The sequence below is a fragment of the Homo sapiens genome, chromosome 14 (assembly GCF_000001405.40).
Source record: "Homo sapiens chromosome 14, GRCh38.p14 Primary Assembly".
Taxonomy (NCBI): Eukaryota; Metazoa; Chordata; class Mammalia; order Primates; family Hominidae; genus Homo; species Homo sapiens.
The window spans coordinates 99,411,840-99,430,806 of NC_000014.9; the positions used below are offsets into that span (position 1 = coordinate 99,411,840).

Here is an 18,967-nt window from a genome sequence, read left to right on the forward strand (position 1 = left end):
CAAAATGTAATTATAAAAATGGAACTATTCTTTCTTGCCACAATTTAAATACTTTTAAGATTCAAGAACATACTTGTTGCTAGACCTTCCCAAATTAGCACTAGGATATTCTGTCTTCAGTGTCTGGCGCACACTACGTGTGTTCTGGCCATTCCAGGGAATTCAATGTGAAATAATCATTCACGGCATTTCTTTATTCTATTTATAATACTGCTAATAACAAGGAAAGCTGACAGAGAAAAGATGAACATAAAACCTAATCAAACAGTATACTAGTATAAAGTATGATATTTCAAAATGATCTGAAATGTATCTTATTTCTGCCTACTAATATCAGGAAATCTTTATCAGACAACCCTCTCACAGAGCACAGAGCGCTTCACCTATGCTGCTGCCCGGAATCCGAAGAATGTGGAGAAACAGAGCCTGCCTCCACCTCTTCCCAGCTGTGGGGGACCATAATAATACAACTTCCTCCTCCCCAGGCTTCCCAGGTATGATGATGCCAGCTGACTCCTGCAGTCAAGGGCGAGGAGCCCAAGGCATGAGCCCCCTCCTCCCGCCCCACAGCACCAGGGAAAGCAAGTAACAAACACAGGTTCATAAACATGGCCAGGGATTCGTCAGCCCATCAGGGGAAGGGACCGGGGACAAGAAAGAATCAAAGGTACAGAACTGGAAACAGAGTGTCAGCAAAGAAAAGAAGACACAAAAGGGAAAATGAGAAATATGATTTTTTTTCCCCAATAAATGAGCATTTTAAAGAGAATAAGTAAAAAGAAACTTTGGTTTAGTCTGTGGTACAATAAGATAAGAAAATGAATGTTGAGGCTGGAATTATGGCTTAGCAAACACATGTAGTTCACTGTGGCTTTTGAAAATGGTATAAGATTCAAGCTCCCAGTTTTCAGTATTAGTCAATGCAGTAAAAGAAAAATACCAGCTTCTATCTGTGGGCGGTGGGGAGGAGTGGCCGGTTCGGTTTTGTTTGTTCCTTTTGGAGGGAGGCAACGGGGGGAGTACGATGGGTAGGTGGAATAACAGCCCCCTCCCAAAGCTTAGCAACAACAGCCTCCCAGATTCAACACAACACAGGGGAAGAGGTCGTTACCAGGCCGTTGGTGTGGTTACACATATCCCATAAAGGAATCAGAGCCAGGGTCACGCGGGAACCATCCTCTGTGGGAATTTGGTTTTGCCTCGTCATAACAGAAGAGACTGCCCACCTATAACAAGATAAATGGTGACTTAAGGTTGGAACATTTAAAAGCCAATTGCAGTAAGAAATAACATAACCAAAAATTTAGGTTTGATCTCTTACAAACGTACAAAGTCTTTTCCTAAGTAACAAAGGTAATGTTTGGCCTTCATCATCATTTAAAAACAAACCCAGGGTTTGAAAGAGCCAGGGGAAATGCAGGAGTGAGTGTTTAAGGCAGACTGTTCCCAAGAAGCAGAGCCAGAAGGACGGCTTTGCGCAGGGCTCAGGCCCCTTCCCGGATCTTCGTGACTCACAAAATCCACTCCCCGACACCCCCCAACCCAACCCTCTTTTGCCCAAATGCTGACTCTGCACCTATTTTAAGCCTCATTGAAAAGCAAACCATAAAACTCCTTTCTGATCAGAAATCCTCTGTGAATTGTAAGAAATGTAAAATGTGACTTTTTTATTACACTGTGCAGTGAATTAAATCTCTCCGTTCAAAAAAAGTCCCCATTTTACACTAACATAGTCTTTTTTAAATAAGAAAAGAAAAATCCATAGGACCACCCAACACTAATGTTAATCTCAAGTAGCATTTGGCTACCTCAGCTAATCCCCTGCCATGACAGGTTAATGGCAATTTCTACATGGCTATGAAAATGCTGATACTTATCCAAGCTGCTCCTGATAACTTCTGAAAGATGAGCTCTGTTTGGATGCTTTAACGGTCACAGCAGGTCACTTCTCACTGAAGCCCTTCCCTCCCTTCCAGGATCCCACTTCACTTAGAAACCACCCTCAATACACAGACACACTCACAGCCCACACCAACCTGTAGTCCTCGTAAGTGAAAGAATCCTTCAAGGGTAGTTTGTTGGCATGAGGATGGGTCTGGGAATTAGAAGTTTTAGAAAGCAGAGGTGAAAAGAGAAAAAGGGAAAACAGAAATCAGTCAGCAGAATTTCATTATTTAGCTGCCTAACAGATCCTAACAAGAGCCAAATGAAGCAGGCGGCGTCCAGCCGCGCTACAGAGGGATCATCGCGCTGTTATGCTCTCATACATCACTGTCAACTTAATTTGTTGTGCCCAGCAGCCGCCATAAATCTGCTTCTTCATATTTCGATACTAGCACCCACAGACAACGCGCAAAACACAATTTAAGGTGGACCGACTTTACAAAAGGCAGGCACGCCTACGCGATGAGCACTGGATCTAAGCAGAAACGCAGAGCCGCCCAAGCCAGGTCCATCCTGGCCCCGCTCTGCACCTCATGCCATGATGTACCGCACAGGCCTTCTGAGAGGGTTCAAATCCCATGTCAACAAAAGGAAAAATTAAAGGCACTCTAATCGGTTGAAAGCTCTTTCATTTCTCTCCGACTTAAGTCATTTCATGGGAATCAACTTGTTCGCACATGAATCATATACACGGCAAATGCGGATCAAGCACGGAAAATCAGGAGAAGTGCAGGTCTATGAGACTATAAAATAACTTCACAAACACATAGGATAACGACAAAACAGATCAGCATATTTAAATTTTACTTCTTTCCTGGACAAAAGAACATTTGGTAAAAATACTAAAACTTCACTTTTATGAGAAAATTATATAGATTTCATATTCTCTCTTCACCACGTCCTCCACTTTAGGCCTTTCAAGCACTTAAAAACTTTGTCTCAATTAAGAAATTAAAAGCTGTAATAGTACAATTTGGATCTTCAGTTTCAATTACAGTCTGATAGATTGTAGTAAGTGATCAAATGAACAAATGGTTATTTCTGAGATACAAATGAAATCCTGCTGAAGCCGGGTCTCCGCACCACTTTTAATGCAGGAAGCTCCATGTAGCCTGCAGTTTTCACTCGTGACGCATTGGCATCACAAGTGCACTGTAATTTATCATCGCTCACTGTAATGTACTCGCTGGCACCCTACGCAGGACAGTAGGGGATGAGGTAAAAGTAGCTAAAACCGTAAATCAATTAGAAAACAAAAGCTTGTGCTCAGTGCGCAATTTTAGGCAAATTATGTATTACAAAAGGCTGCCAATTAAGTGTTAGTTTTGCTAAAGTTCCTTCACTTGCAATAAAATGAAACTTCGCATTACCCGATCAACTGGGAACTTTGCACATCCTGCCTGTTTTCATACTCTAGGAAGTGGGAAAGTGTTGTTTTTGTTATTTTTACGTATTTTAATTCATTTAAACTGTAGAATTAAACTGTAGAAAGTTAGTAAGTTCCAATGCTAAATCTCTAAGTCTAAAAATTTGGAGCCCCCACTAAGAAGTCTGACTTATTAAATGGCAGAAAAGATGACAATATTCAAAACTGGAATGCTAAATCTCAAAATGCTAAATCTAAAAATAACTTCAAGAGTCTTCTAACTCTCAAATTTCTTTAAGTAGCCTTGGACCCTACACAACTATCCAAACATGGGTGATCTCCATCAAGAGATGGAAAATTAACTCTTCAAAATGTTTCTCTTCCTGCTATTCATACACATTTCTTACCCAACATATAAGTCCATGCTCACAGTCCTGATGAAATCATTTAGGGAAAAAAAAAACACTCAAGAAAAAAATGTGTCACTGCATTCTTCAGATTTTGAAGATCATTTTGGCTGCATGGTTACATAATATTTGCAGAATCTGTTAGAAATAGTTCTTATCTTCTTAAGAAATAGGGTGTACACACTGTACATAAATCTGGTTAAAAAAAAGATTCTGCCACTGACACATGCACTTAACAGTGACACTAAAGCAAAATGTGACACTAACGGAGAAAGGAAATAACTCTCTCCACAGAGCTCTCATTACTGTGACACTACTGCCACCTTCTGGCAACTTGGGAGAGTAGATTACAGTCGCAGAGTTCTTGATATTTCCCAGGGCAAGGCCTTTAAAGCAACTTACTGTAAACCAAAAACTGGGCTTATCAAAAACAGCTACTACTTCAGCTTTACCCAACTAAGATTTGGTTTCTAAAAAGAAAAATCTCTGCTGTCTCTAAAAACTATTATATAATAGTTTTATAAGAATCTTGAGACATTCAAATATCAAAAATATTCATAATTAAAAAATATTTAATTTTGAAAATAAATGGTTTTACTTATTCTGAAGAATTGAACAAGGATAAGACAAATGTCTATGCCAAACAATTTTCATTTAAGCTCAATGTATTAAAAACAAACAAAAAAAAACCTTTTTTCCCTGTTGAAGACCAAGTTAAAACACATCTTCCAAAAATTATTAATCTGAAGTTACTGGAAAGTTCCTAAAATATCCTTAGATGAAAATCTTTAAGCTCATACGTTATACAAAAGATAACTGAGCGTTCCTCACTTAATGAAGCAAAGTGGTGCTTATAAAGGTTTTGTTGATTACAATAGCCTTTTCACTAGAAGACATTCCTAGCTTGCACTTTTAAAATAAAAATATACAATTAAAACAGAAAACGTACTCTCTGCAGCCAATTGGTTTTAGCTTCCAAACCAATTGTAACTGTAGATTCCAAGACACAGACACACATGGGATGGGTGAGGAGGGTCCCTGAGAAGCTTCTGCCTGCCACTGTCAGAAAGACGACAGTGAGAGGGCCTCTCAGGCATGGGGGGCCCAGCAGCAGCGGCAATGGGGTCTCCTGAAGCGCTACCTCCCCTCAGCCCACACCTCCCAGTAAATACAGGCGGAGAAACTAGCCACGGATTTTCTCCAGATTTTTTAAGTGATTAATATTTTTACTTTCTTGAGCACAATAAATATATGAAGATGGAGAAATGAACCATTGCCGTGGCTCATAATCAGACCTGAAGCACTACAGAGCCAGGCAACCCAGGGACGCACTCTTCCCCTTCCCTCTTCCAGCAAAAGGAGGCATTCCATGTTGAGACACAGTAATATTGTACCGAGTACAAAATAATCACTACGTTTGGGAAAGATTAATATCTAAAATTGTTTGTTCGGCTTCAATAAAAAAGAGCAATATTGCTAAATATGTAAGTATGACATTTTGAAGAATTTACCATATTGCATGGGTCTGGTAGCTATGCTTAAGGAAATTAAAAACCACTACAGTCAGCATATTTGATCCTTATTAAAGTTCCGTCTTGAACTATCACTCACATAAAACAAAAATAAACCAAGAAGAAATTTAAATAAAACCTATGGATTATAAGTGTTTGAAGATGAAAAAATGAACAATATTCCGGCTTTAAAAAATTGATTTAGCATGCAGCTTCTCTTTATAGTCCCTTGATAAAAATGAAATCTCCCTAACAAACACTTAATAAAACCTGTCGATATCTCTGGAAAGAAAAATGACACAGATGCATTAAGTATTAAATACCCTTGGAAAAAGTCACATATTCCATGAATTTTTGATGTACTATCTTGACATTAATGTAAAACCTTGATATTTATAATTGACAGATATTTAATAAAGTATAAAAGAAGATGGCTGCTGTGCAGCATGCAAATGTTCCAGGGTGATCAGAAATGAGAGATACAGACATGCACTTAAACTAAACAAACAGTTAATATGTGTTACACAAATCAGCTGCAGGCTTATTTTAAGCTCATACAACAAACCTTTGTGGAGAACCAAAATAAGCAGAATTCATTATTATGTGAATCCCTAATTCAGAAACATCTAGTACGTGAAACAGCTTTGAAACATTAACAGCTCTGCACAGGAACAAAATACATTTGCGTTAAGGTTTTTTTGTTTTTCATGTTTTTCAAACATTTAACAATAAGCATTTTTAAAATAAAAGTATTTCCATAAATACATGGAGAGGTGTTTCCTAAAACAATTCTCAAAAGGCCATATTTAACCTAAAGAATCAAAATGCTCTGAAGAAAAAAATATATTAGAACACACAAATGGCCTCTAAGACACAAACATTTCCCAAAATCAGATATTTACTTTTCTAAAGAATATTCTTCTCTACCCAGACTGATTTTTACTTAAAGAAAAACAAGTTGAACATATTAATCACCTTCAATGAGGCATTTAACTATACAAAAAGGAAAGTTGCTCATAGAAATGACTCTTCTAAATACTGTATGTTAAAGAATTTACATCCTGCCATAATGCAAAATTATTAATTTCAAATATATTTATGGAAGAATTCAGTGACTCTGCCCTGTTTGATGACTATAGTATCAGAAATGACAAAATATAATTTAGAAGTTGCACCTAGCTTGTTCTGATAAAAAAACCATAATGCCATGCAATTAAATTTTTCTGACTAAAATCCAGCTGGATCTTGTTTTGCTTCACTCCTTAAGCATACATTAAAAGAGATAGTCAGGGACTATCTCTTTTAATTAGTCAGGGACTAATTAGCCAGGAACAGACACACCTAACTCACGTGATGGTTTCATTTTCCTTCCTTCTGCAAGGATGAGATCAGTCACAAACTCTCACATTTGGCCTTTTAGGGTGGATGCAATTTTGCAAGTTTCAGAAATGTGACCCTATCTCACATAACCAAGAGATCTCTGGTCTGACAAATTCCTGGGCAGGACAGCCTGTGGCATCCTCCCTAGGCCCACTGTGGATCCATGGCCTCAGCAAATACATGTGCTTTGTAAAAATTGAGAAAGCAGAGGTGCAAAAGACAGCTCCATCGGCCCATCCTATAGGCCTATAGAGACCCCCTTCCTCTTCAAAGCAATACTGCACCAATCAGAGAGAGAATGGGAGCAGAGAGAGAGTAAGAAGATGGACATCCCCAGAAGGAAACAGAGTGAGGAGAAATGGGAGAAGATAAACAAAAAGAAGAAAGCTGAATATTGGAAAGATGGAAAAGATGGCAGGCAGGAGAAAAATTTACACTAAATACCTTGAGGTTTCCCCTTTCCACCCCCAAATGCAGGCTCATAAGCAGCAGCATGCAAGACAGCGAGTTTCTAGAAGGCTGATCAACCCGTCTTCTAAGTGGATATAATACAGTTGAACAGAATGACAAATTGCAAAGTATCTCTTGAATTGAAAATTTAGTTTTGATGACCATAAATCAGAATCAAAACATGGTTCACATGTTCAGCTCTTGAGGGAAAAAAATCAATTTTTAAGACTTTTATTTTTAAGCACAGATTATATCCAACTCTTCAGGGAATTTTTCATCATAAAGTTCTTTGAATTCACTTGATATGATGAAATAAAAATTTAAATACATCAATACACACTGAATTAAGATTTTCTGCCTTTCGCTTATATATAATTTTTCTATGACAAATGTGTATCACCTTATAATTTAAAAAACTTAAATTAAGAAAATGAAATTAGTGGAGAAATAACATTGTTCAATAAATTTATAAAATTATGATGGAAGAACTTTTTCTCCCATTGGAAGACAATGAATGTATAATCTACATCCAGTTAAATTTAATTAAAATTTGTTGAAACATGGCAAAAGATACGTCTGTTTAAAAACCTTTTTATGGCCGGGCGCGGTGGCTCACGCCTGTAATCCCAGCACTTTGGGAGGCCGAAGCGGGCGGATCACGAGGTCAGGAGATCGAGACCATCCCGGCTAAAACGGTGAAACCCCGTCTCTACTAAAAATACAAAAAATTAGCCGGGCGTAGTGGCGGGCGCCTGTAGTCCCAGCTACTTGGGAGGCTGAGGCAGGAGAATGGCGTGAACCCGGGAGGCGGAGCTTGCAGTGAGCCGAGATCCCGCCACTGCACTCCAGCCTGGGCGACAGAGCGAGACTCCGTCTCAAAAAAAAAAACAAAAAAAAAAACCTTTTTATTAGCTACCATTTGTATACTCTATGATGGGCAACCAATTATGAACCAAATTTAGTGATAATCAATCAATATTTTTGATCATCAATTACTCAACAAATATTTATTGACTTAGAAAAAAAGATGAAGATAGGTTAAGACTAGAAATTCATTCATTCAACACATACTTCATTTCCTGAGCACCTCCGAAGTGGAAGGCACTGTACATCACTGATATCATTAGGGGGTACTGCCTAGCAGTGAAGACAGATAAGTGACCAAAAAACCACAAAAGGATGGTAGGCAAGGTCATGCAAATCCCTCTTCTTCCGGGCCACCTTCTCCAATCTCCAGGTCCCTGTTGATCCTCCTGCCCTGTTCCTGCCTTTCCCACGCTGGCCTCAGTCTGCCCCTCACAACTGCATGCGCTGTGGCCATTTGATTAGCATCTCTTCCCCTCCAGTCCCCACAGGCAGGCTCAGCAAGGCAGGGACCATGTCTTCTTTGACCCCCTGTGAGTCCCCAGTGCCTTGCTCAGTGCCTCATTCAAAGAATTCCTCTTCTTTTTTAAAATTTTAAAATTTATTTTTAACTACACCTGCTGGAATGGGACAAAAAAATCTTCTTTCTCCAAGTGACAAGATACACTTCTACTCTTTTTCCTGGGACAGCGGAGGAAAGCTATGACTCCAAAGGTGCTGCTGAGAGGCTGCACCAGGGACTGGCAACCCCAGGGGAATCTGATCTCCACATTCCTCTTCAGAAAGCTCCAGCCCATGTGGGCACCCCTGCCACACCAAGGCAGTGACCATAGGCTTCAAAAAACACAGCTTTCCACATCCTTCTATCCTATGTTCCCTCTTATGAACAGAATATTCTTCTACCATCTAGGGGCCAGAGAATCTTCTCATTTTTTTCCCCAAATCTCTCTTTAAACACATTTGAGAAAGCTCTATTCTAAGAATCCAAAGAGAAACAACAACACAGATCAAGCCCACCAGTCCTCTGTACCAAATGGTCACCAAATCTCGCCCCACCCCCAACTCACCCCGAACATGTAGCACACACCCTTCGAAGAGGTGAGGCTGGGAACCTGCCAGGTCATCCAAGCATGCTGCCCAACCACTTGTGCTGCCATTTCCTCACTGGAAAAAGCCAGGCGAGGGCGGGGGGGGGGGGGGGGGGGGGGGGGGGGGTGGGAGGTGCAGACAAGCTACTGCTGTCTTCTTTAAAGACAGTAAATCTTTCGTTTCTTTGCCTTTTGACACTACCTGTCTCCCCACCCCCACCCCCAACATCTCAATCTGCTGACTGACTTAAGGACTCTAAACGATGACCAAGCCTCATTCTCTGGTCTGCAAAAAGTCAACTCCACCAATCGATCAATGCTTATTCAAAAGATATATATACTTCCAACTCCTCCATCTTATTAAAGAAACTAGAAATAAACAGAACGGTAAAAAGTTATTATTTTATAAGCAGGCTAGAGTGTATCAAAAAAGCAGGCTAGAATTATGTATTATCACCAGTTTCATAATATATTGTTTTAGTTTTAATTTCAGCAATTTTGGGTTTCAATAATTCAGGATAACTACGTTGGACTCTGTTTAAATGAGTCAATCTAGTATGATCAGTCATTTACAAGAGTAGTTGTAATCAGTAGTAGTAATCAGTCATTTACAAGAGAATGTTAGGACCACCATAATGAAACCAACTTCCTTTATAAGGTAACTGACATTCAGAATATGTAGATAAACTCCTGTCCTAGAAAGGTATGACCTCAGCTTGGTATATAAGAAAGCTCTCTGTCATCTCCATGAGAAACAGTGGGAGAGGGAGACAGACACTAGCAGTCATCATTTGCTGAGCGCTCTGTGCCGGGCACTCTATCGAGAACTCTATGTGCATATAATTTAATCATCTCAATTCCTATGAAATGGCACTTATTAGCCTCATTCTACAGATGAGGAAACTGAGGGAGACAGACATTAAAAGCGTACCCAAGTTTACCCAGTTAATAAATGATGAGGCTAGGCAACAATCCAGACAAGAGTTTTCTGGAGTTTACTTCAAGGCAGAGGATATCTAGTTGTCCTACTTTTATAAATAGTCTTATAAAGTCTAATAAAATCAATATATTTTTGCTTGGTGAAATTCCAGAAAAATGCTTGGTAAATACTGTTCTCATTTAAAATTCACCATAGAGGTATTATAAAAGGCATTATGAAGTTTAAAGGCAGGCAACATTAGCAAAACTAAGACAGTGAGTCTATTATTTCCCGCACCATCAGAAAGAATACCATGTTTAGCTGTTAAGTCTTCGGTCATAAAATCTCAGCCCTGGATGGTAACTTAGATTACCTGGTCTAATTCTGTTCACCATGCACATGAAGAAGTTTGGACCAGAAAACATATGTATCAAATACATGTATGAGAGAGGTCATATTTGGCATTTTCTTCACTAGAATGATGCCACATCGATGTCCCAACAATTTCCAATATTCCATCATCTGGAATTCTATCATTTTTCTGATAACTCTTAACAGCCTCAAAGACACCCCACAGCTTTGCCAATCATTAAACCACTATATCAAGTTATTATACTAGCATTATCTTTTTGGCTACTTTCAACTCTCCTTATTGTCATGTTGTTAGGGAAATGAACTTTGGTCCCTTAAACATTCTGCTTTTAAGCCTAAAGGAAGTTGAGTAGTCTATGAGGAGCTCATGAGGAATGAGCTCTAGGGGTGCACCACAGAATCTGAGAACCCTTCTCTGTAGACTGTTGGGGTTCTAACAAAGACAAGCCAAATCCTGATGTAATAAGTCAATCCCACTGATTTAGGAGGACTGCCACAATTGACTGAGCCTGAGACAGCCACATTCTCAAAGAGCACCATCTAAATCCACACATCACATACACTGCCTTGTCACCAGCTGCCAGGAGTTTACTTAGGTAAATCTCACTGATAACAAAATCTAAGGTAAAGGTCCCCACTGTACCATACCGGGCTGCTGGTCACAAAGGAGGGAAGTGGGGATGCAGGGAAGAAAACACAGCTCAAAAACCCTTCCCCCATCAAAGGCTCAGTGTGCGGCTCTGTGGAGCCCCGCGGCCCCCAAGGCGCCTGGGGACAGAGGGTTTGTGGACACCAGCAAGTCGCAGATGCACTGGCTCTGCTCCTCCACCTCAGGAAGCTCAGTTACTTGAGGGAAGCAGTTTCCAGTTATTCATATTCCCTCCTTTTCTCTATTCCCCACGCTCAAAGAGTGTTCAAAAGGTACCAATCAAAGAGAAAATCCGCAACACTGTCCCTGGGTTGTTCTAGATACAGCCAAATTACTGTTCTCACCTACAGCAGGGAGGTGTAAAGGCCTTTCAGAGGGAAGTAACAAAACTTCTTTGTTTATAATATACAGTCACTGAGAAAGAGCTATAGCTCTCAAAATCTAAGTAACCCTTTTTTGTATCCTCTGAGAAGGGAACCCTCAAACATATTACCCTGAAATTTGACAAATAAAATGAATATTTTAACATTACTAGTAAAATGTCCCATTAAAACGGCAACGAACTGAATTATAGGATTATAATTTATTAGAATCAAAATAGAATGGTATTATAGTAAGTCAAGACACTTGAATAACCAAACATAATTTAAAATCTCCATACCTTTGGGTAGAGTACCTGAGAGGTTTGTTATTAAGCAAAACTATTTCATATTATCTTCAGTTGATTTTTTTTAATTGCCTTTCTCATTTCATTAGGAGTCCAAAATAGATACCAGAAGGCTCTTAAGCACTGTTATGCAAAAAAAAAAAAAAAAAAAAAAAAAAGAGCAGGCACTAAGATGCCATCAGTACTTGCTATTTCTCCATTAGCATTAAGATATGTTAGAAAAAAAGTCATTCACAGTACTTCCATAAGTACTGTTAAAGGTACACTCTGTCTTAAACTGAACAGGGTAAAATCTGGAAGAACAAAGAAGCAAGGCCAAATCACACAGAGTGCACCCACCTGTACCTGGTTTCTCTTATGAGAACGGCCAAGGGATATCCAAGTAGCACAAGTTAGAAAATTCAAGTCTGATTACTTCCTTTTTCATAAAAATCATACTTTGCCTTATATTTTCTTCATTAAATGCTCTACTGATCAATAGTGGTAAAATGGATTTCACTCTCTTTTTTTTTTTTCCAGAGGAAATACTATCTCACATTGTTAAGAATGATACCATTTTGTTGGAGCATTCAATTTCTGGAAACAAATTTTCAATGAAAGAATAGTTTAATCAGTGCAGATCTTTTAAGCACTACCTAGAAAACAGGTAATTATTAAATTGTCCACCTGGAATAGAATGCAGGAAATCCAATAGACTGACTTAAGCTATCTTTTACTATAAGATGTTTGACTATAGTCATAGATGAGAAAAGACTTCAGAATTGGGTTTTGAAATCCAGGTCAGCTGACTCCCAACTCGGAGCCCAGAAACTTGGAGAGCTCTTACATTCGGGGGACAGGAATGGTAGGGTCAGAAAAGCCTGGAGATTCAGAAGAGCAGGAAGAACGAAGCAGGAACGTGGGGAGGATGAGGGGACTGGGCAGGGAAAGAAGCCAGACCCCAGGCCCTCCCAGAGGGCATCACACTTCAGGGCGGGGAGAGCCAGGCTGCTGGGGCTGGAAGAACTCTCAGTGTGGAATGTTCTTGATAAATGTTGTGATTAAAGGTGGAAGACAGACAGGACATCATCTCAAAGGCATGGGGGCTGTCTGTAAACCAAGGGGATAAAGCCAGGACAGAAAGAAAGAGTGAAAACACAGGGCCAATGTCGCTGAGCTCCTGACCTGAGTTCCTGACCAGGCCCCAGGGCTTCCCTTAGCTCTAAGGGGGGTCCCTTCCTCAGAGGGAGGGGAGGAGAGGAGGACATAAGAAACCCAGGTGGAGACAAAAGGAAAGGAAGTTCTTGTCACATGGTCTCAGTTTTCTCAGCAGTGCAGGGATGAGGGGAGCCCAGGAAGAGCTGAGACACAGAGACCCTGAATCTGTACCCAGGGAAGTGAGAGAGAAGCCGGTAAGACACAACTGTGCCTTTCTCCAGGCAGGAAGGAGACTCACCGGCCAGGCTGAGAAGGCTAGACTCACCTTGCACTAACTGTTATGGCACCTGGAAACTTCACAACACTCAGCACCCGGGAGCAGAAGCTGAGAAAGGGGATGGTGGGGAGGACACGGGGCTTCGGAGGGTGCCCTATAGAACAGGAGGGATGAGGCAGTCCAGAGGGAGGGCTGATGGACTAAATCACAGCAAACCAGTTTCACTTCTCCCTACTTCTTTTAAATTAAACTGCACCAGACCAAAAGAAACAGGACTATAAATAATAATGGTTAATTTATGCACTGGCACACAAAATAACACTCTAGCAGGTTTGCTGAACTAAGGAGTCCTACCCTCTACAAGATGGTTAGCCAACTATCTTGCCAAAGTCAGAGGTTCAAGGAGGAACTCCGCCATCCACGTGCACACCTTGGTATTTAACTCTCCTAGAGTAGGAGCCACAAGGGGTTAGGCGCATGCAAGAACACGAAAGGCCTGCCAGCGGGCACTGGGAGCTGCCGTGTGGCCCAGCAGAGCCAAGTGGTTAGAGCACCTGCCTGGCATCTAGCCCTGCAAAGCCCAGCGCCAGCTCTGAACCTGGAAGACCTGGAGCAAGTGCCTAAGGTTTCTGTGCTCAGTGGAACATTCTCAGCAAACAGTAAGCAGTCAGTAGGCGTCAGCTGTTATTAGTCTTTAGTTTCTGCCATAATCGCTTTGTACACGGCAGGTGCAGAAGGGATTATCTCGCTCTAAGCAAGGCACTGGCAGATGCCTAGAAATGGACCTCCATTTAAGTGTCAGAAAATAGCAATCCAGCTACCTCTTTTGCAAGAAACATAAGACAATGTGGAGTTTAGATTTAGCCTCCAATTACTCAGGCTGTAAAGATGGTACAGAAGAGAATCTCTTCTTAAGCACTTAATGAATCTACTGCAAAAAGAAAAAAATCTGTTTTCCCATCTGTACTTCCAGACATATATAATAAAGTGACATTTTCCAACATAGGTTTTTCCAGATCATTAGCTTTGTCAGTTAAGACTCTATGCTCAGCAAAATGACCATTATTTTTCCTATTTACCTTTTAATTTCTAAAAAAAACAAGCTGTTGTATTAACCTAGAGGTAATCTTAGATTATTAATCCCTAAAAAAAACTTGGTGTGGAAAACAGTTCAAACCCTCCTCCCCCAAACATACACATTTTCACAACTTTCCAGACTGGAATAATAATCCAATTATTGGAATAATCCGCCCCCCCATCCACTTAGCCAAATCCTAAGACAAGGTTTAAGATTCCTTTGCCTTCAAATCTACATATGACCTCCAGTGACCTCTAAATGTCTAACCCATGCAGTCTACAAAATACCACGTAGCACTCTGGTTTATGCCACGTGAAATTGCTCCTGAGTTGCTTCATGGATTTCATTCATTCATTCACTCATTCAACAAATATTCACAGCACCCACTCTGAGTGAAGTGGAAAAGCAGGGAGCAAGACAGACCTGGCTTCTGCCCTCACAGATCTTCCTGTCTGCTGGATGGTGGACACTGACAAATAGTCACAAACAGGAAGGAAGCAACAACAGGGAACAGGTGCTGGGGTGTGCAGAGCACGGAAAGCAGCAGAGCAGCTGAGGCCTGAATGTGGGGAGAGGGCGGAAGGGGACCCAGCAGAGAGAGTCCTTAGCTCTCCTGCTGGACCTGGCAAACAGAAGGTGCTGATAAATATGAACTGACTCCATATTCACCATTGCCACTTCCTATTTTCCCCAGAAGTCATAATCGTAGGTTGGAAGAAAAGTAAGAGACTGCCCATCTAGTAGTGATCACTGACCAACGTGTAGATTCCCTTTAAAATTTGCCCTTTATTTTTTAAGGTGTCCTCTCCCAGGGGGGAGCATATTTAAATTCACACCAGAACGGCCTGCCAAGCTCAGAAAAGCAAGTTCCCAGGTTCAGTTCCTAGGTTCAGGATCATCCCAGCCTCCAAAGTGTCCACTTACACCTCGCTCGGCCAACGAGGGCAGAGGCCTTGCCTTTCATATTTACCTACTCCCCACCTTCTGCCTCCCCCACACTGCATGCCCCACATGCTGCAATCAGTAACTCAGGTGGGGACGCAGGGAGAAGCAGGCGGTGATGTCAGGGTTTTACTTGGCAGGCAAGAGAGCGTGGGGGGCAGCTGGGGAGCATCCGGAGCGCCTCCTGTCATGTTCCTATGACGAGGCTGCTAACTTTCCCAAGTGTGGTCATTTTGCAAATTAACCTTTTAGCTCGAAAAATAAAGCTAGGTACTTCAAATTATTCACAGAAACTTAATGGTGCACATGATGCTGACAAGGAAAACATACCTTTGTATTACGAAACAGACAACTTCTCCATTTGACTGGAAGATGCCCACTGACTTTCAGTGAAAATACGTTACCCCATCATAAGGATAACCAAAATAACCACATCTTTTAGCCTTTAACTGCTTAAAATATATGCCCATGTTTTAAAAAACAGGACATAATGAAATAAATGTAATATTTACTGTGCTACTCTTGTGAGTAAGTGTGAAAACTGTAGGATGAACTATATCTGCAAAAAAGTAGGAAAAGGAACAGGTGTTAAACTTTCAAGAAAGATTTTGCTTAATCTCAAAAGTTATCAAAGTAAAATAGCTATTATTTTATAGAAAACGATAAAGGAGGCCAAGGCATAAAGTGGTATAATTTTATCCTTGATGTACTAATGCACATTTCTGCAGCTTCAGAGCCACTTTAATCTCATCTTAAAGCTTCCCAGCAAAGCTTCGTCCGTCAACTCCCCAAACCTGCACTGTGTGTCTGCTGCGTGCAAGGCATTGTGGGGGGACAATGAGCAAGATGAGTTCCCTGCTTTTAAGGAGCCAACGACTTTGGAGCAGGGAGCCCAGACAGGCAAACTGTGACGTGTCACACCAGGATACATGACACGTGCTGGAATTCAGAAAAGAAGCTGCAGTCACTGTCGGGAAGAGGGGGATCTGGCAATGACTCACAGAGGAGGTGGCATGCGAGTTAAGTCTCTAAAGATGGGCAGGATTTTCCATGTGGGAAGGGAGACATCCCAGACAGAGAGTACCGGAAATGGCAGAGGCAGGGAAAGGAGGGCTTGTTAAGGGAAGCTGAGCAGCTGGGGTTTGCAGAATCGATTGGCACACAGAGGGATGAAAAGGTGCAATGCCAGTGCAGTCCCAACACATGAGGCCCTGCAGAGGGTGGCACAGTGCCCACGGCAGGAGCATTAGAGTATTAGCTATGTGGCCCCAAGCAGTGCTACCCATCTGGTCTGTTACTTCACATGTAAAATGAAGACAATCCCTGCTACCAGAGTTTGCTGGCACTTGAGAGGTGTCAGTAAGTTAGTATCCATCCAGGAACAAGGACTTTGTAGACACTGAGCACCCCCTGGTCTTCAGCATTTAGGAAAAGTAATCTGCCAAAGGATGAATCAAAACAAGTGGTGGAGGGGTTGGGTGCAGTGGCTCACACCTGTAATCCTAGCATTTTGGGAGGCCCAGGAGGGCAGATCACTTGAGGTGAGGAATTCGAGATCAGCCTGGGCAGCAGGGCAAAACTCCATCACTACCAAAAAATACAAACATTAGCTAGGTGTGGTGGCACACACCTGTAGTCCCACCAACTCGGAAAGCTGAGGTGGGAGGATTGTTTGAGCCAAGGAGGTGGAGTTTGCAGTAAGCCGAGATCATGCCACTGCACTCAGCCTGGGTGACAGAGTAAGTCCCCGTCTCAAGAAAAAAGAAAGAAAAACAAAACAAGTGATGGAGGAAGTGAGAAAATGTGGGGAGGGGGTAGGTGAAGTTTGAGAATCTGATAAAATCTATGGGCCTGATGTGGCAAGGAACTGAGGGTGGCCTCTAGCAACTGCCAGCAAGAAACCCAGGCACTGATGAACTGAAGCCTGCTGCCAATCACAGGAGTGGGCATGGAAGGCACCCTTCCCCAGTCACACCTTCAGATGAGACCACACCCTAACTGCAGCTTTGAGAGAGACCCTGCAGCAGACAGCCCAACTAAGCCATGCCTGCCTTTCTGACCCACACAAACTGTGAGATAATAAATGTGTGTTTTAAGCCTCTAAGCAGCAAAGAAAAAAAAATTTTAATTATGAACTTCTGGGTGTACTTCTCAAAAAAATTCACACAAACATATGACTATTAGTCAAGATGGGCTGGAATCTGCCATAATACGGTGTCTCCAGGAGTCATTTCTCACTCACTGCATGCTCCCTGGGTGCTGCCTGTGCCTCTGCTCCATGGGATCTCCACTCCATGATCCAGGAACCCAGTAAATGTTAGTGCCCTTCTGCACTGAACTGTTCTGTTCACAGGAACCAAACATATTTGCAGGAAAAAAAGAAGAGGATTTAAAAGGATGAAGAAAAAAGAAAGACACAAGGGAGGGCAAGTAAGTGACAGAACACAGACACAGGAGGCATCACACCACCAAGGGCACAGGCTGGACAAGAAAAGAAAAGTGAAGAAAAGGAGCACTGGTGAGACGCAGGGGAAACTCTGAGATGGAATGGAAAGAAGCCAAGAAATCTAAACATAAACAGAGCACCCCGATTCTCTTAAACGGGATGTAAGAGACTTTGCTTAGGGTGCGAGGCATTTGGTCTGTTTCATGATTGTCATTAATATGGTTATACCATTTCTTGTCTCTTTTGTTTCCATATATGTTCAGCATTCACTCAGTCATCTGATAACTAACATCCTATTTCAGTCCTAAATTTATGGGTTTTGGATATATCCAAGTTCTTTGAAACATGTGCTCTGTACTCCAGACAGACACTGGCTAGTTAAAACGTGAGGAAGAGGTGCCTCAACACCAGGAGTCTTGAACAGAAGCAAATCCAATATAGAAACCCATCTGAATCTTTTTAAGTCCCAAAGTTACTTATGAAAATCAAGTAATTTTAAGGCCTCCATAAGGCCTACCTTATATGCTTAAGGATTTATTTTGGTCTCCTCAATTCCACACACCTGTTTTCATTCTTTGAAACAGATGAAAACTGTGAAGTATAGAGGAAATGGTAAGATATTCTGGAGTGGGTCCAAAGACAAGCAGTCACTACCCCCAGCCATTAAACGAGAGGGGAGGGGGAGTGAGCCCAGCCTTGATGGCTCAAGATGGGCCTGATGGGCCCAGAGAGGGAAGCCCAGGAAACAGCGTTTTCAGTAAGTTTCCCAGGTGACTTATGCTCACTCGAGTTGAATCCAGGAACCAAGTTTAGCACTGGCTCCCACTGAGGAGGAGAAGAGTAAAGAAAGATCTCTGCTCTCTGAATAAAGCCCTCCCTGCCCTGGGTGCACAGATATGCACACACACATGCACAATGGGAGTGAAGTCTGGGAGAAGCTGAATTTCACACTGAGGTTTCTGGCCCATCCAGATCTGCCCACTTGAGGTTCTGGGTCACTGAAACCCTGTCAAACAGAATATGTGAAGCTTTAATTTTCTACCTGATGCTAGTTTATATTTTCTAGTGTTTTCTATTCCATGTATATATGACTTAAAATTCAAAAATAATTTCATGTTTTTAAAATAGGGAAAAAAGTCAAAGGTTTCTGACACCAGCACCAAAGACTCCAGCTATATTAATTACTTGTTCCTCAGGGTATTTAATACACCTTTTGACCTGACCTGCAAACAACGAACATTTATTCAACAGACATTTATCAAGTGCCAAACATTAGGCTAGGAACTGTAGCCAGGAAGGGAGTTTGCTCTCAGGCCTCTAGGGGCTCACGTGGCGCCACTGAGGAAATGAGGGAGAGGAAGCAGGTGATGCATCAGCGAGTGACTGAACCTGGCACTGCTGAGCCCAGGCGCCACCTTCTCCTCTCACAGCAGATCCTCCACGAGCACCATGCCCACCTGCCCACAAAGG

The 18,967-nt window shown here is 41.7% G+C and overlaps 1 protein-coding gene across 9 annotated transcripts in view, besides 4 other annotated features; it reads right to left on the minus strand.

Annotated features, from left to right (window-relative positions):
- Positions 1-18,967, minus strand: part of SETD3 (SET domain containing 3, actin N3(tau)-histidine methyltransferase) — an 88,711-nt gene that overhangs the window by 14,092 nt on the left and 55,652 nt on the right. For 8 of the 9 annotated variants that reach the window (XM_017021699.2, XM_011537231.3, NM_032233.3 and 5 more), the window contains 2 exons: positions 2,037-2,095; positions 1,112-1,226 (listed from right to left, as the gene is read on the minus strand). The exons of the other annotated variant lie outside the window; for it this stretch is intronic. In XM_017021699.2, the coding sequence (XP_016877188.1) occupies positions 1,112-1,226; positions 2,037-2,095 (174 nt within the window). The remainder of the gene's footprint in view (positions 1-1,111; positions 1,227-2,036; positions 2,096-18,967) is intronic. 9 annotated transcript variants of the gene reach the window in all.
- Positions 202-868: an enhancer, noted in NCBI's record as "NANOG-H3K27ac hESC enhancer chr14:99878378-99879044 (GRCh37/hg19 assembly coordinates)". NCBI's record gives its function as "activates a minimal SCP1, AML or CMV promoter by ChIP-STARR-seq in primed H9 embryonic stem cells {active_cell/tissue: H9 hESC(primed)}" and the evidence as "EXISTENCE:reporter gene assay evidence [ECO:0000049][PMID:30033119]".
- Positions 1,535-2,200: an enhancer, noted in NCBI's record as "NANOG-H3K27ac-H3K4me1 hESC enhancer chr14:99879711-99880376 (GRCh37/hg19 assembly coordinates)". NCBI's record gives its function as "activates a minimal SCP1, AML or CMV promoter by ChIP-STARR-seq in primed H9 embryonic stem cells {active_cell/tissue: H9 hESC(primed)}" and the evidence as "EXISTENCE:reporter gene assay evidence [ECO:0000049][PMID:30033119]".
- Positions 12,347-13,210: an enhancer, noted in NCBI's record as "H3K27ac-H3K4me1 hESC enhancer chr14:99890523-99891386 (GRCh37/hg19 assembly coordinates)". NCBI's record gives its function as "activates a minimal SCP1, AML or CMV promoter by ChIP-STARR-seq in naive H9 embryonic stem cells {active_cell/tissue: H9 hESC(naive)}" and the evidence as "EXISTENCE:reporter gene assay evidence [ECO:0000049][PMID:30033119]".
- Positions 13,211-14,073: an enhancer, noted in NCBI's record as "H3K27ac-H3K4me1 hESC enhancer chr14:99891387-99892249 (GRCh37/hg19 assembly coordinates)". NCBI's record gives its function as "activates a minimal SCP1, AML or CMV promoter by ChIP-STARR-seq in naive H9 embryonic stem cells {active_cell/tissue: H9 hESC(naive)}" and the evidence as "EXISTENCE:reporter gene assay evidence [ECO:0000049][PMID:30033119]".